The sequence below is a fragment of the Homo sapiens genome, chromosome 15 (genome assembly GCF_000001405.40).
Source record: "Homo sapiens chromosome 15, GRCh38.p14 Primary Assembly".
Taxonomy (NCBI): Eukaryota; Metazoa; Chordata; class Mammalia; order Primates; family Hominidae; genus Homo; species Homo sapiens.
In genome coordinates this window covers 60,284,402-60,298,656 of record NC_000015.10, presented here as the reverse complement: position 1 = coordinate 60,298,656, position 14,255 = coordinate 60,284,402, and the positions used below count along the sequence as shown (strand labels likewise).

The following is a 14,255-nucleotide window of genomic DNA, read 5'->3' as shown; positions in this document are numbered from 1 at the left end:
ACTCTCTTTGTATTTTTTCGAGGAAAGAATTAGGAAGCAGTGTTTGGTGATGGTTGACATTTGCCCTTCGCTTGCCGTCTGAGCTGCTTCATGTAGAACTGACTCCCACATTCCAGCTGCTCAACTGTAATCATTCCATTAGCCCCTTATTGTGTTTAAGGAAGTGCAACCCCATGCTTGTTGTATCTGTCTGTGATTGTATCTTTCTTCTCTTTTCTCCCTCCTTCCCCTCCATATTCCACTTAGTTCCTCATCCTCTCCTGCCTTCCCATTCCCTATTTCCTTCTCCTTTCCTTCTTCCTCCTTTCCTATAGAAAATACATCTTTGAGAATATATCCAATTGCTACCTTGAACCAAAGAGCACACAAAAAGCAGGAAGAAGCACAAAGATAGGCATCGGAGGTGGTTTATGAAAGCTTGATGTGATCACAGATCTTGCCATAAATATTCAAAATATTTGACTACTATTTTTAAGAGTTTCAGTTTATTCATTTTCCCAAAGCTCTTCTTGCTGCTGGTAGGATTTTTTGGACTAAGCCCTTTTGGAGTACATGAGGCTGTTTACTAGCAAATTAATGGAGGCCTTTTTGACATACACAAATTTTAGTAGTTACAATGATGAGAGAAATAGCAGCTTGAAGAAGTTAGAACCCATGGGGATCTGGAGGCTTCCCTTTTGCTGAGTTCTAGAATTTGTGAGGTATCAAGTTTTGAGAGAATCCAGAGAAGTCAGTCAGCACCTCACCTGAAGTTCTTCCACAAAACTGGGAGAATGCACATGGCCTCAAGGGCTCATCACTTTTTCCATTATAAGGGACCAAGAAAGAAATTGACTGGGTTTGATGGCTCACACCTGCAATCCTAGCACTTTGGGAGGCTGCAATGGGAGGATTCCTGGCGTCTGGGAGTTTGAGACCAGCCTGGGCAACATAGCAAGGCCTCATCTCTACTAAAAATAAAAAATCAGCTTGGTGTGGTGGTACTCACCTGTAGCCCAGCTACTTGGGAGGCTGAGGTGGGAGGATCACTTGAGCCAGGGAGGTTGAGGCTGTAGTGAGCCATGATCACACGACTGCACTTGGCCTGGACAACAGAGTAAGACCCTGTCTGAAAAAAAAAATAAAGTAAATAAGTAAATTATTCCGTAAAGATGAGAATTCGGTCTGTCATTGAAGGTGTCTTCCGCATGGAAGCCTTTTGCATAATTGCACACTACTGTTGTCTCTCCTTGACCTCCAATAGCTCTCCCAATGTTTTAAGCTAAATATTCTCATTAACTTGAATCATTCCTCACATGACAGGGCTTGAGTCTCTTCGCTATTGTGGTCACTTGCTTCAAACAAGTTATAGCTTGTTCTTCTAGCCACAGGTCCTAGAAGTGAAAGTAGGATCCAAGCAACAGTGAGTGTGGAGTGGGTTCTGATGTGTGTAGAGCATAGTAGCTGTTATTGAGATCTAAGTCACATTATCTACATTTTACTGGTGAGTAATACTGGGTTTCTTGTTGACTAAATCTCTTTTCTGTTGAGGGGGAGTCTCGCTCTGTCGCCAGGCTGGAGTGCAGTGACACAACCTTGGTTCACTGCAACCTCTGCCTCCCAGGTTCAAGCGATTCTCCTGCCTCAGCCTCCAAAGTAGATGGGATAACAAGCACGTGCCACCATGCTAAGCTAATTTTTGTGTTTTTAGTAGAGATGGGGTTTCACCATGCTGGCCAGGATGGCCTTGATCTCCTGACCTCATGATCCGCCTGCCTTGGCCTCCCAAAGTGCTGAGATTACAGGTGTGAGTCACTGTGCCTGGCCAATTTCTGCCTATTTTTTATTTTATTTATTTATTTTGAGACGGAGTCTCCCTCTGTCACCCAGACTGGAGTGCAGTGGCATGATCTTGGCTCACTGCAACCTCTGTCTCCCAGGTTCAAGCACTTCTCCTGGCTTAGCCTCCCGAATAGCTGGGACTACAGGCGCATGCCACTACCCTTGGCTGATTTTTATATTTTTAGTGGAGATGGGGTTACACCACATTGGCTAGGCTGGTCTCAAACTCCCAACGTCAGGTGATCTGCCCCCCTCAGCCTCCCAAAGTGCTGGGATTACAGGCATGAGCCACTGCACCCAGTCCTCTGTTTCTTTTTTAATAGGATAAACGTATACTTCTATAATTTTTTTCTACCAAAGCGATATTGTTTGGCTGTGTTGCCATTCAAATCTCAACTGAATTGTATCTCCCAGAATTCCCACGTGTTGTGGGAGGGGCCTAGAGGGAGGTAGTCGAATCATGCGGGCCAGTCTTTCCAGTGCTATTCTCATGATAGTGAATAAGTCTCACGAGATCCGATGGGTTTATCAGGGGTTTCCGCTTTTCCTTTGCTCTCATTTTCTCTTGCCACTGCCATGTAAGAAGTGCCTTTCACCTCCCGCCATGGATCTGAGTCCTCCCAAGCCATGTGGAACTGTAAGTCCAATTAAACCTCTTTTTCTTCCCTGTCTCGGGTATGTCTTTATCAGCAGTGTGAAACCGGACTAATACAGTACATTGGTGCCAGGAGTGGGATGTTGCTGAAAAGATACCCGAAAATGTAGAGGGACTTTGGAACTGGTAACAGGCAGAGGTTGGACCAGTTTGGAGGGCTCAGAAGAAGACAGGAAAATTTGGGAAAGTTTGGAACCTCCTAGAGATTTGTTCAATGGCTTTGACAAGAATGCTGATAGTGATATGAACAATAGGGTCCAGGCTGAGGTGGTCTCAGGTGGAGATGAGGAACTTGTTGGGAACTGGAGCAAAGGTGACTCTTCTTATGTTTTAGCAGAGGCTGGTGGCGTTTTGCCCCTGCCTTAGAGATTTGTGGTACTTTGAACTTGAGAGAGATAATTTAGGGTATCTAGTGGAAGAAATTTCTAAGCAGCATAGCATTCAAGAGCTGACTTGGGTACTGTTAAAAGCATTCCAATTTTAAAAGGGAAACAGAGCATAATAAGTTCAGAAAATTGGAACTTGATGATGCAGTAGAAAAGAAAAACCCATTTTTAAAGGAGAAATTCAAGGCAGCTGCAGAAAATTACATAAGTAGCAAGGAACTACTAATGTTAATCCCCAAGACCATGGGGAAAATGTCTCCAGTTCCTGTCAGAGACCTTCACTGCAGACCCTCCCATCACAGGCCCAGAGGCCCAGGAGGAAAAAGTGGTTCTGTGGGCTGGGTTCAGGGTCCCCATGCTGTGTGAAGCCTAGGGACTTGGTGCCCTGTGTCCCAGCTGCTCCAGCCTTGGCTGAAAGGGGCTAATGTATAGCTCTGGCTGTGGCTTTAGAGGGTGGAAGCCCCAAGCCTTGGCAGCTTCTTCCATGTGGTGTTGAGCCTGTGGGTGCACAGAAGTCAAGAACTGAGGTTTGGGAACCTCTGCTAGATTCCAGAAGATGTATGGAAATGCCTGGATGCCCAGGCAAAAGTTTGCTGCAAGGTTGGGGCCCTCATGGAGAACCTCTGCTAGGGCAGTGTGGAAGGGAAATGTGGGGTTGGAGCCCCCGCACAGTGCCCCTGCTGGGGCACTGCCTAGTGGAGCTGTGAGAAGAGGGCCACCATCCTCCAGACCCCAGAATGGTAGATCCATCAACAGCTTGCACTGTGCACTTGGAAAAGCCGCAGACACTCGACACCAGCCCATGAAAGCAGCTGGGAGGGAGGCTATACCCTGCAAAGACACAGGGGCAGAGCTGCCTAAGACCATGGGAACCCACCTCTTGCATCAGCATGACCTGGATATGAGACTTGGAGTCAAAGGAGATCATTTTGGAGCTTTGAAATTTGATTGCCCCGCTGGATTTCAGACTTGTGTAGGCCTGATAACCCCTTTGTTTTGGGCAATTTCTCCCATTTTGAATGGCTACATTTACCCAATACCTGTACCCCTATTGTATCTAGGAAGTAACTGGCTTGTTTTTGATTTTACAGGCTCATAGGCAGAAGGGACTTGCCTTGTCTCAGATGAGACTTTGGACTGTGAACACTTGGCTTAATTCTGAAATGAGTTAAGACTTTGGGGGACCGTTGGGAAGGCATGATTGGTTTTGAAATGTGAAGACATGAGATTTGGAGGGGCCAGGAGCAAATGATATGGTTTGGCTGTGTCCTCATTCAAATCTCAACTGAATTGTATCTCCCAGAATTCCCATGTGTTGTGGGAAGGACCTAGGGGGAGGTAATTGAATATGGGGGCCAGTCTTTCCAGTGCTATTCTTGTGATAGTGAATAAGTCTCATGAGATCTGATGGGTTTATCAGAGGTTTCCGCTTTTGTTTCACTCTCATTTTCTCTTGCTGCCACCATATAAGAAGTGCCTTTTGCCTCCCGCCATGATCCTGAGGTCTCCCCAGCTGTGTGGAACTGTAAATCCAATTAAACCTCTTTTTCTTCCCAGTCTCGAGTATGTCTTTATCAGCAGTGTGAACATGGAGTAATACACAAAGTAAAGACATTTATGTTTATCATGGCTAATTTACATCTTATTTAATACCTGCAGCTTATTATTCTAGCTTTCAAGTTCCCCTTTTTGTTTCATCCATATTGTGCTTTGTTGTTGGGCCCATGGAAATGACCTTCTTTGTTTAATGGTTTGAGCTTTTTTTGTGAGGGAAATCCTAGATTTCTGCAAGATGAGGAGACTAATGGAGGGTTCATTAGAAAGGAGAAGAAAGAGTCTGAGTGAGCACACTTGTTCAAATGGCAGAGTTACTCCCAATTTAACAACAGAGTGAAATGGGAAAAGAGAAACAGGTAAACACAACGACTGAGCAACTGTGACTATGAATTTGAAGACATCATGAAAACTTGAAAACAGTCTGGCTACTCAAAACATAGAACACAGTCACAAGCACTGAATTTAAATTGCCAAGCATTAGAGCAGTTATGTGAAACTTAATACCCTCTCCGAGGGGCTGTTACAAGATCAAATGAGATCATATATGAGAAAGATCTTAGCATGAAGCTAGAAACTTAGTAGGGAATCAATAAAAACATGTCTCGTAGGAATGCCTTCTTCTTGGCCTATCTCTATATCTTGACTTTGGGCTTCATCTTTTTCTTTTTATTCTCGTAGGTAATTGCATGCAGTCCTTTAGCACTCTTCACTTCTCACATTTCTCATGTCTAACATATCTTTTTGTGAACAAAATCATGTTTATGATCTCCCTATTCATTGTGATTTCACAGCCTTTGATAGTTCTGCCTTTTGTTCTCCATCTTCCCAGACTGAAGGTCCTAAGATTTAGGCCAGCAAACTCCCTGTCTCCTCCCTCACTCCAATGCCCTTCTCTAGACTTTTCCTAGCTCTCTGCTTTTCTTGAAGGAGGACTTCTTGTAAGGCTTGGCAGGTGTCACCCTAGGCTCCCTGTCCTCCTGGTTGTCTGAGACTTAGTTTCTTCATGTCTAAAATGGGACATGAAGTCAATAATGCCACGAGAGGACTAGATGAGCTTTAAGCGTGTTGATGAATATGAGTCGCCTAAAGTATTGCCTTGCACAGAGGCGCTCAAAGATGTCATGGTTAAAACAATCTCATTAAGTCTCTTTTTGTAGTTTGACTTAGAAGCAATTCGTGTGGAATATGCAAGCCTCTTTGAAAAGTTCACCCTGTAGATTTCTGATGAGGAATACAAAAATGATTTTTCTAACCACTAATGGGTTAACCCCTTCTAGCCTCATGGGAACTTATCATGTGCGTGGTGAATTGTGTGAGAGGAAGCCCTGTTGAAGCAGTCATTCTGTCCCACTCCCCTGCAAACCATCACTTTGGTGGCTGACAGCTTCCAGGACCAGGACTTATGGGTTCCACCAATCTTACAGGAACACACCTCTGAAAATGTTCATCTCTATGTCACCAATGAACCTATATACCAGTAACAAAAGTGATGATGATGATGATGATGATGATAATGACTTCTATTATTGAGCCACCTACTATGTGCCAGGTCCTGTACTAGGTCCTGAGAACAAAAAGATGAACAAGTCAGTCATAGATTACAGACGGTCTACGTAGAACTCCTATCTCAGTGCCTGACACAAAGTAGGTGTTCAATAAACATTTGAAGGGAGAAAAGTGATGCTCAGAGTTTCAGTGACCTCCAAGAAGGTCTTCTGGATCCTAGAAATAAATAATACCTTTGTATGGGTCCCCAAATACACCCAACTCCATACCTGATCCAGCTCCTTGATGAGTGACATAGCTCTGAGATTCTATTGCATTTGGGGCCTATCCAGTTCAAACAGTCTTACACAAGCTTGACTTTGGGTTCGTCCCTCATTAGTCCCTTCAAATTTCTTGGTGTGCTATAGTGTTCCATGGAGCTAGCGTCTAGACCAAAGCTAGAAAAGCGTGTATAGAAAAGAAGAGGCTAAGGTAGTAGAGTTCTTGGTTTTCCTGGACAATTTTTCCAAATGTAAGTGCCAGCCAGCCCATAGGAAGACAAGGCTTCTCTCTTTCGATTTCTGTTTTTCCTAATTACTGACTGCTAACAAACGGATATTAATTTGTTAAACAAATTAGCTCTTTTCAAACTGCTTTGAAAATATGGATGTTAGTCAACAAATTAGTCTTGGAGCTATCTCTTCTTAGTTGGTATGTGGCAGTACTACCTTTGTAGTCCGTGTGTGTGTGTGTGTGTGTGTGTGTGTGTGTGTGTGTGTGTGTAAGTGAAGTACTGTGTATTTATTTGATAAATACTCTTGATTACCTTAATTCATGGTTGTGCAGTCCTTTGTGGCTTTAATTTCAAAGTTTTGAATGACATTGGTGGTGAATATGTTAGGTACATTAACTCTTTTTGCCTCTTAGGGATCTATTTGTCAAATCACCTATTTCACTACACCTAATGGCCTTTGGGTCCTACGGAAGTTAATGCCCTCTTTGAAAATGAGCAACTTTATTCCTGAGCCTTCCATATTAGAAGGATCATCCCCAATTTTTTTGAGTTACTTAAGGATGTGAAAAATATCTTTATATTCTATTTGATGACACTTCTAGGTAATGTGAGGAATTATAGAATAATACTTTAGCTTGGAAAGGATTTTACTCCAAAATAAAATCAAGTCAGATTCTCAGCTGTTGCTTGTTAAGTGCCAGTTTGACATTCGAAATGATCTGAACTTTGTGATTTGGAGAACCCAAAATCAACCAGCAGCAATAACTTTCATCCACTCAAAACCCATTTGGTCATGACTGATGAAGAGACTCATTTTGTTTGGGAGGATTGGATGTGAGCAACTGGGGATGAAAACGTAAGACCTAAGATGGAGTATTCTCTGTGCAACTTCAAGGCCCAAATTTATGTTCACTTTAAAATAAACACACTTACTTTTGCCTCTTTTTCTTAGGAAATTTAGGAGAGAAATGATAGAAGTAAGACTTATAAATATTCTCTTGATCTCAGCAGGCAGCATTGTGTATTGGCCAATACACAATACAGGGGGTGCAGGAGTTGGGTCCTGGCTCTACTCTTCAAGGTGGTGTGACCTTGGCAAGTTGCTCAACCTTTCTCAGTCTCAGCGTTCTCAATCACAAAATGAAGCTGGAACTCGTACCTTTCTTCGGCCAGTGTGAGGATTAAGTGGGCTGCCCACGTAGAAAGCACTTCTTAGGAAAACCCCCAAGGTGGAAGGCAGATTTACTGTGAAATTTATGAAACTTAAATTTCAGGACTCCTCACTTGCACACACCTCTTTTTAAAAAACCTTCCCCTTTTGTAGTTAATTTTGTATTCATTGTTGTTGTGTTTTCATAAATAGGGCCTCCCAAATTATATGGTAAAGCCTGGGTTTTCCCTTGTCAAACCCTCTTCATCAGATTGTTCCATGATTCCTCCTAGTTTGGTGCAGACTTCAGGATTAATCAATTTAAATAATGCTCTTAATAACTGCTAAATAGAAGACATCACTTTTAGACCATCTGTATGATGTATGTTATGATAGAGCTCTCCCAGGTAGGAATTATCTAGAAGGAGAAGAATTAATTTGTCTCCACACATATATTAAAGAATGGATTCACTTCTGCCAAGGAAAGTAAGTGTAGAAGTTTCCTTGATGAGATTTAATGATTTGTAGACTGATCTACTGATGATTAGCACCTGGTGTTAGAATAATAAGGACGCTGAAGATAACACTCATTGAATGCTTCTGATCCAAACCCAGCTATGTGAACATTTTATTGCACTTGCTTAAGTTGGCAGATTTGTTTTTTGCAGTCTTAGTTGTTTGTTTATGATACCCAGAAAAGCTATGTGTTTTCTTTAACAGAGGTCTGGGCCATTCTGACTGCTACTGAGAGGGGAGAGGTGTTCAGACAGAGGTGTCTAGAGGTTATGGTTAGAACTATGAGAGACATACGGCATGCAGTGACTATTTCTTCCCAAAGTATGGAGATTTTTAGGAGGAAAGAGTTGAGTAAATTAGGCAGTTACTGAGAGAAGTTTTTATGACAAGTACAGCTCATGTCAAAAGAGACATTTTTATTAAGAAGATACACACACTCATTCCACACTCACAGATTTGAGAGACACGGAGGGATTGAAGTCTGAGAGACATGTACAGTGAAAGACAACAATTTGAAATGGAGATGAGAAAAAACATCCTCTCAGATGAAGGCATCTAGAGTTGAGGCTGATTTTGAGAGAAAACGAAGATAAAGTAAAGATTTTATTTCAGAGGCTTAATTTTACTCAGTCGAAAAGAGTTTAGAAGTATATAAGTTATGCTTCTGAATACTGACGGAAAGGGAGAGGAAGAGCTCAGTGAGAGAGGCAGGGGAGAGAACCACCGCAGCTATCTGTTCCCTCGGGTGGCTGAAATGGCTGAGGGCAGCTCGTCTTGGGAGGGGCCTGAAGCAGGACTTGGCTGAGGAGGTAGTCAATGCTGGACCAGTCAGGGCCGACCAGGCTATGGGCCTATATGAAAGAAATGCTCCTTCAAGATAACAGGTTACACTAATTGAGAATCCAATAAGTGTTCTAATGCTTTGTGATTTCTTCTCTCAAGTGATTCACATTTATTTCATTTATTAGTTTCTTAGTATTATTGGCTTATTAATCAACAGTGCACATTTTATTGGTAATGATAAATACTGTGACTCTTTTTTCTTTCTTTTTTTGAGATACGGTCTTGTTCTGTTGCCCAGGCTGGAGGACAGTGGCGTGATCATGACTCACTGCAGCTTCAACCTTCCAGGCTGAAGCGATCCTCCCACCTTTGCCTCCCGAGTAGCTAGGCTGCAGGTATGCACCACCATGCCTGGCAAATTTTTGTACTATTATTATTATTTTGGTAGAGATTGGGTTTTGCCATGTTGCCCAGGCTCTTCTTGGACTCCTGCGCTCAAGCGATCCGCCCACCTCTGTCTCCCAAAATGCTGGGATTACAGGCATGAGCACCTGGCTGACTCTCATTTTTTTTAAAATTGATACATAGTTTACATGTATCCTGAAGTGACGAAGTTTTCTGTTAAAGTTACACTTAGAATTTTTTTGGCAATAGTGAAATCTGAGAGATGACGAGGTAAAATTCTTTGTTGGGAGAGAAGCCTGATTATTTTACTCATAATGCAGGTGATGGGGAACAGATCCTACTACTCATAGTGGCCATGCACCTGGCTCTTTGCTGGCCATGGTATAAAATTACTTAAGGTTTGGTCCCATTTTCAATTCCATCGTTATTTACCAAGTGCATCCAGTGTGGGCTGAAGTGGTTTTTACAACTCCCAAGAACTGATTATATGCATCTCTTCCTAATGCCACTTTCAGTAATATCATCTCGTGTGCTTGACATTGGCCATGATGGGAGTATTTACACCATAGAAACTGGCAATTACTATAAATCAGGGTTTTCTCCATCCCCAGAGAGCTGGTTGTTAAAGGTTTGCCAGGACATACACACCTAAGCAAAAGGTTACTGAGCTATAGACACTGTAGGGGAATTAAAATGTGAGTGGGATACATTCTGGTCTTTAGGGATCTTATAATTTGGTAGCAGGAATTAATGATGATGATGATGGGGATAATAATAATAATGAGTACCTATTGATCACTTACTGTGTTAGAACTTTACAGATGTTAGCTTGCTTAATCATTACAAAAAATCCTATTAGGTGGGGGCCTTTAATTCTCTATTTTTTTTTTTTTTCGAAGCTGAGTTTCATTCTTGTCACCCAGGCTGGAGTGTAACGGCACGATCCTGGCTCACTGCAACCTCTGCCTCCCGGGTTCAAGGGATTTGCCTGGCTCGGCCTCCCGAGTAGCTAGTATTACAGGTGTCTGACACCAGGCCTGGCTAATTTTTGTATTTTTGGTAGAGATGGGGTTTCACCATGTTATGAGGGGCTGAATGTCAGGCTAAGGCATGTAAGCTTTATTTGGTGTCTTTTCAACAGGTCAATTAAGCTGAGGTAAACTAGTCCAGACTGTATACCAATGATCAAAAATTCAGATGTATTTCCATCCATATCAATGTGATAATACAGCACTCAATTTTATGAAATCCGGTCAATTTTTTTCAGCTCTGAAGTGTTTAAAGGGCATTTCTCCAAATGGCTGGTGGAGATGATCTCTTTGTCCTTATTATATATTCTAGCAACCTGATTACAGCTCAAAGCCAATGAATCTCATGCAAGGTAGCTGGGTTTATAAATTCCTGCAGGCTCAAGGAATCCTTTGGTGCCACAGGTACGCTCATCAATGGAGGTCTAGTGCACACTGTTGTCCGATGTGCCTTGATAGTCTGTATTGGTTAGAGTGGCTGCTATCCAGTGTGATCTGTAAATTGTTAGAATCTAAATTCCCTGGAGGTAGAAACCATGTTTGTCTCATTTTTCATTGTCATTTTTTTTTTTTTTTTGAGACGGAGTCTCACTCTGTTGCCCAGGCGGGAGTGCAGTGGCGCTATTTCAGCTCACTGCAAGCTCTGCCTCCTGGGTTCACACCATTCTCCTGCCTCAGCCTCCTGAGTAGCTGGGACTACAGGCACCCGCCAACATGCCCGGCTAATTTTTTTTGTATTTTCAGTAGAGACGGGGTTTCACCATGTTAGCCAGAATGGCCTCAACCTCCTGACCTCGTGATCCGCCTGCCTCGGCCTGCCAAAGTGCTGGGATTACAGGCGTGAGCCACCGCGCCTGGCCTCATTGTCATTTTAATACCTGGCAGTTTCTGGTCAATCTGGGTTTTCAATAAATATTCATTGCCATGAACATTCATGGTGTCTCTTTATGCTTCATGGGTTGTACCCTAAAAATGCTTGTGTCCACAATTTTAGTTCTGGTATAATTAATAATATGTTAAAAATATTTTTAAAAAACCAGATTTCTCATTTATTTATGTATTTTTGGGGTTTCTTCCTAGCCATAGCAGTCAGGAGGAGTTGAGGCAGGTAATTTGTTCTTTTGCTAAGCAACAGGGACTCAGACTGAAAAGTTTTGAGAACCACCTGGTTCAAACACTTAATGTCTCTTCCGTCCCTCTGCCTGGTCGGTCTTGGGGAGTAGATCCAGACAACCTCAGGTTCATCTGCTCCTGCCTCACCTGGCACTTGGCTTTCCTGATTCCTCAGTGCCACCCCCATCTCCTCCAGCTTGGTTCTGTGGGTGTCCTGATTGATGGTGTCCTAGCTGGACTACTGGACTTTCCTAGATTTGACTTCAGCACCACCTTAAGGCCACACTGTCCTCGACACTTTTTTACCTTAGGTAAGAACACTAATGATTCTCTTTCTGGGTGCTAAGCCTCCAGTCGGTGTGACTGAATTAATAAATGAGTGGATTTTCTGTGATTAAATATTGTGATTTCTTCTCTTCTACTGTTCTTACCACTGAACAATAGACAACATGTAGTAGACACTTTCCTAGTCTGTGTAAGACTCTTGATTTAAAATAAGTGACATTTTGGTGTCCCTCTTGTTACCTATCCTGACCACTTTGGGTGCATCAGTCTCCAGGTGGCAGTAGGGATAGGTAGTCCAATCTATAATTGCTTATAACTTATACCAAATCACAAAAATCACCAGAGAATGTGTTTAATCATTTCCGGATCCTGGGAATTCCTTAAGTTCCTTCCCAAGTTGCAGCAGCGAGAAAATGTGGGTACAAATGTATGTGATTTACTTGGACTACTTCATACTAAGGGAGTGGATGGTGCATATCTATGGTACTCAAAGGGCTTGCCACAATTCTAAGATCATTGCCCCTGATATCATCTGCTGAATATCTTACAAGTCCTCCCAAGTTTTGGGAGGAGCCTTCCAATACCTGCTCTTCCTTCTCAACATGTTTTATAATAATACACCTGTAGTCACCGAAACTTGCAACCTGAACATATTCTTTGTAGAACTTGCCCCCTTGTTTCATGAGGAAAGATATTCACCAGGAAGGACCGAAAGAGACAGCATGCTCTAGGTAGCAGAATGAGTGCTTGTGTCTCAGGAGACATTCAAATTAAAGAATATAAACCAAGAATAACATTCTAAGCCTCACAACTATCTGAATGGACCCCTCCTTTCAGCCAAGGGCATTCCAAAGTTAACCTGAAAAATTAGTTCAGGCCATGATAGGAAGGGGGTGGGTGTCAGACATGTCTCACAGTTGACCAGCATTAACATCAGCACAGAGATCTTAAGACAGATAGAACCAACTTTTTACATCTGATAAGAAACATTTACAATCTATTCTCTAAAGCCTGCTACCTGGAGGCTGATCTGCATGATAAAACCTTGGCCTCCACAACCCCTTATCTTAACCCAGAGATTCCTTTGTATTGATTCTAAGTCTTCAGTCAATAACTCGACCAATTGCAAATCAGAAAATCTTTGAATCCACCTAAGACCTGGAAGCCTCCCCCCACTACCCCCACCCACCATTTCCAGTTGTCCCACCTTTCCAGACCAAACCAATGTACATTTTACATGCATTGATTGATGTTTTATGTCCCCTTAAATTGTATAAAACCAACTTATAGCCTGACCACCTTGGGCAATGTTCTAAGGATCTCCAGAGGGATGTGTCACGGGCCATTGGTCACTTATACATGGCTCAGATAAATCTCTTCAAATATTTTACAGAGTTTGAGTCATTTTGTTGACAAGAACAACAGAAAAATACCACAACAATCCTTGATATGGTTTTATTTCCTATGACTGTGCTTGTAACTTTAACCACATTTTGGGAGAAGAATGGGTTACACCTAAAGTGACAGAGACATGCAATGGGGAGATTGAGTAAATTGGTTGCATCAATTTACAATGGAAAGCAGTTTCTTATTCTAAACATATTCATTTGTAATGTTGAAATTGCCCCTCTATTCATGTCTCTACACCCTCCCTATTCTAGCTTTTTGTGAAAAAACTTATGTTTATGTTACCTCTACTCTTATGATTTTAAAAAGTCTCTCTTTGGTTATTTCTCCTTTCATTCTCCATCTTCTCAGACTAAAGCACTCTAAGATTTTTAGTGTATCAGGCTCCCCATCCTCTCCCTTACTCTAGTCAACCTTTTTAGAACTTTCCCTGACTTTCTGCCTATCTTGAAGTGTTATAGTAGGTCACTCGTCAGGCATGAGCAGGGCAGGAAACGGCTCCCCTCCACCCCACCAGGAATGTCAAGAAACCATCAGGTGATGGTCAGGCAGTTGTCATACTGTCTCTCTAAAATAATAATTGGTCTCAGCTGGTGCCAGGGAAAGGCAGTCTTCCAATAGATAGAAACATCTGAATCTGGTGATCAGCAGCCTCCTGATAAGATCTCAGGAGTTGGTCTAGGGGGCTCAAGCATGCACATTCAGAGGCAAAATGGCAGAGTTTAGCTGGTATATGACCTCCCAGGACATTCAACAGGTAAGGGAAGAATGCCTCAAGTGAGCATTCATACAACTCCAGTAGACACACTGTACATGCTCACCTCCCAAGTGCTGGCAGGCCAGTGCACATGCGGACAGCCCACACCAAGGGAAGAATCAGGGGAAAAGAGATAGATGTAAGACCCCAGAAGTATGCCAACATATAAAACCCCAAGTCAAAATGTCAAACCATGCACTTGTTTGGCCCTCTTCTAGGTGTACTTTATTTCCTTCTGTTCCTGCTCCTCTAATGCTCTTTAATAAACTTTCATTTCTGCTATAAAACTTGCTTCAGTCTCTCCTTCTACCTTATGCTCCTCAGACAAATTCTTTCTTCTGAGGAGGCAAGACTTGAGGTTGCTGCAGACCTGTACAACTGCAGATTTGCTGC

At 42.5% G+C, this 14,255-nt stretch overlaps 1 annotated feature.

The window, feature by feature from the left end:
• Window positions 12,413-12,948: an enhancer, noted in NCBI's record as "OCT4-NANOG hESC enhancer chr15:60577908-60578443 (GRCh37/hg19 assembly coordinates)". NCBI's record gives its function as "activates a minimal SCP1, AML or CMV promoter by ChIP-STARR-seq in naive H9 embryonic stem cells {active_cell/tissue: H9 hESC(naive)}" and the evidence as "EXISTENCE:reporter gene assay evidence [ECO:0000049][PMID:30033119]".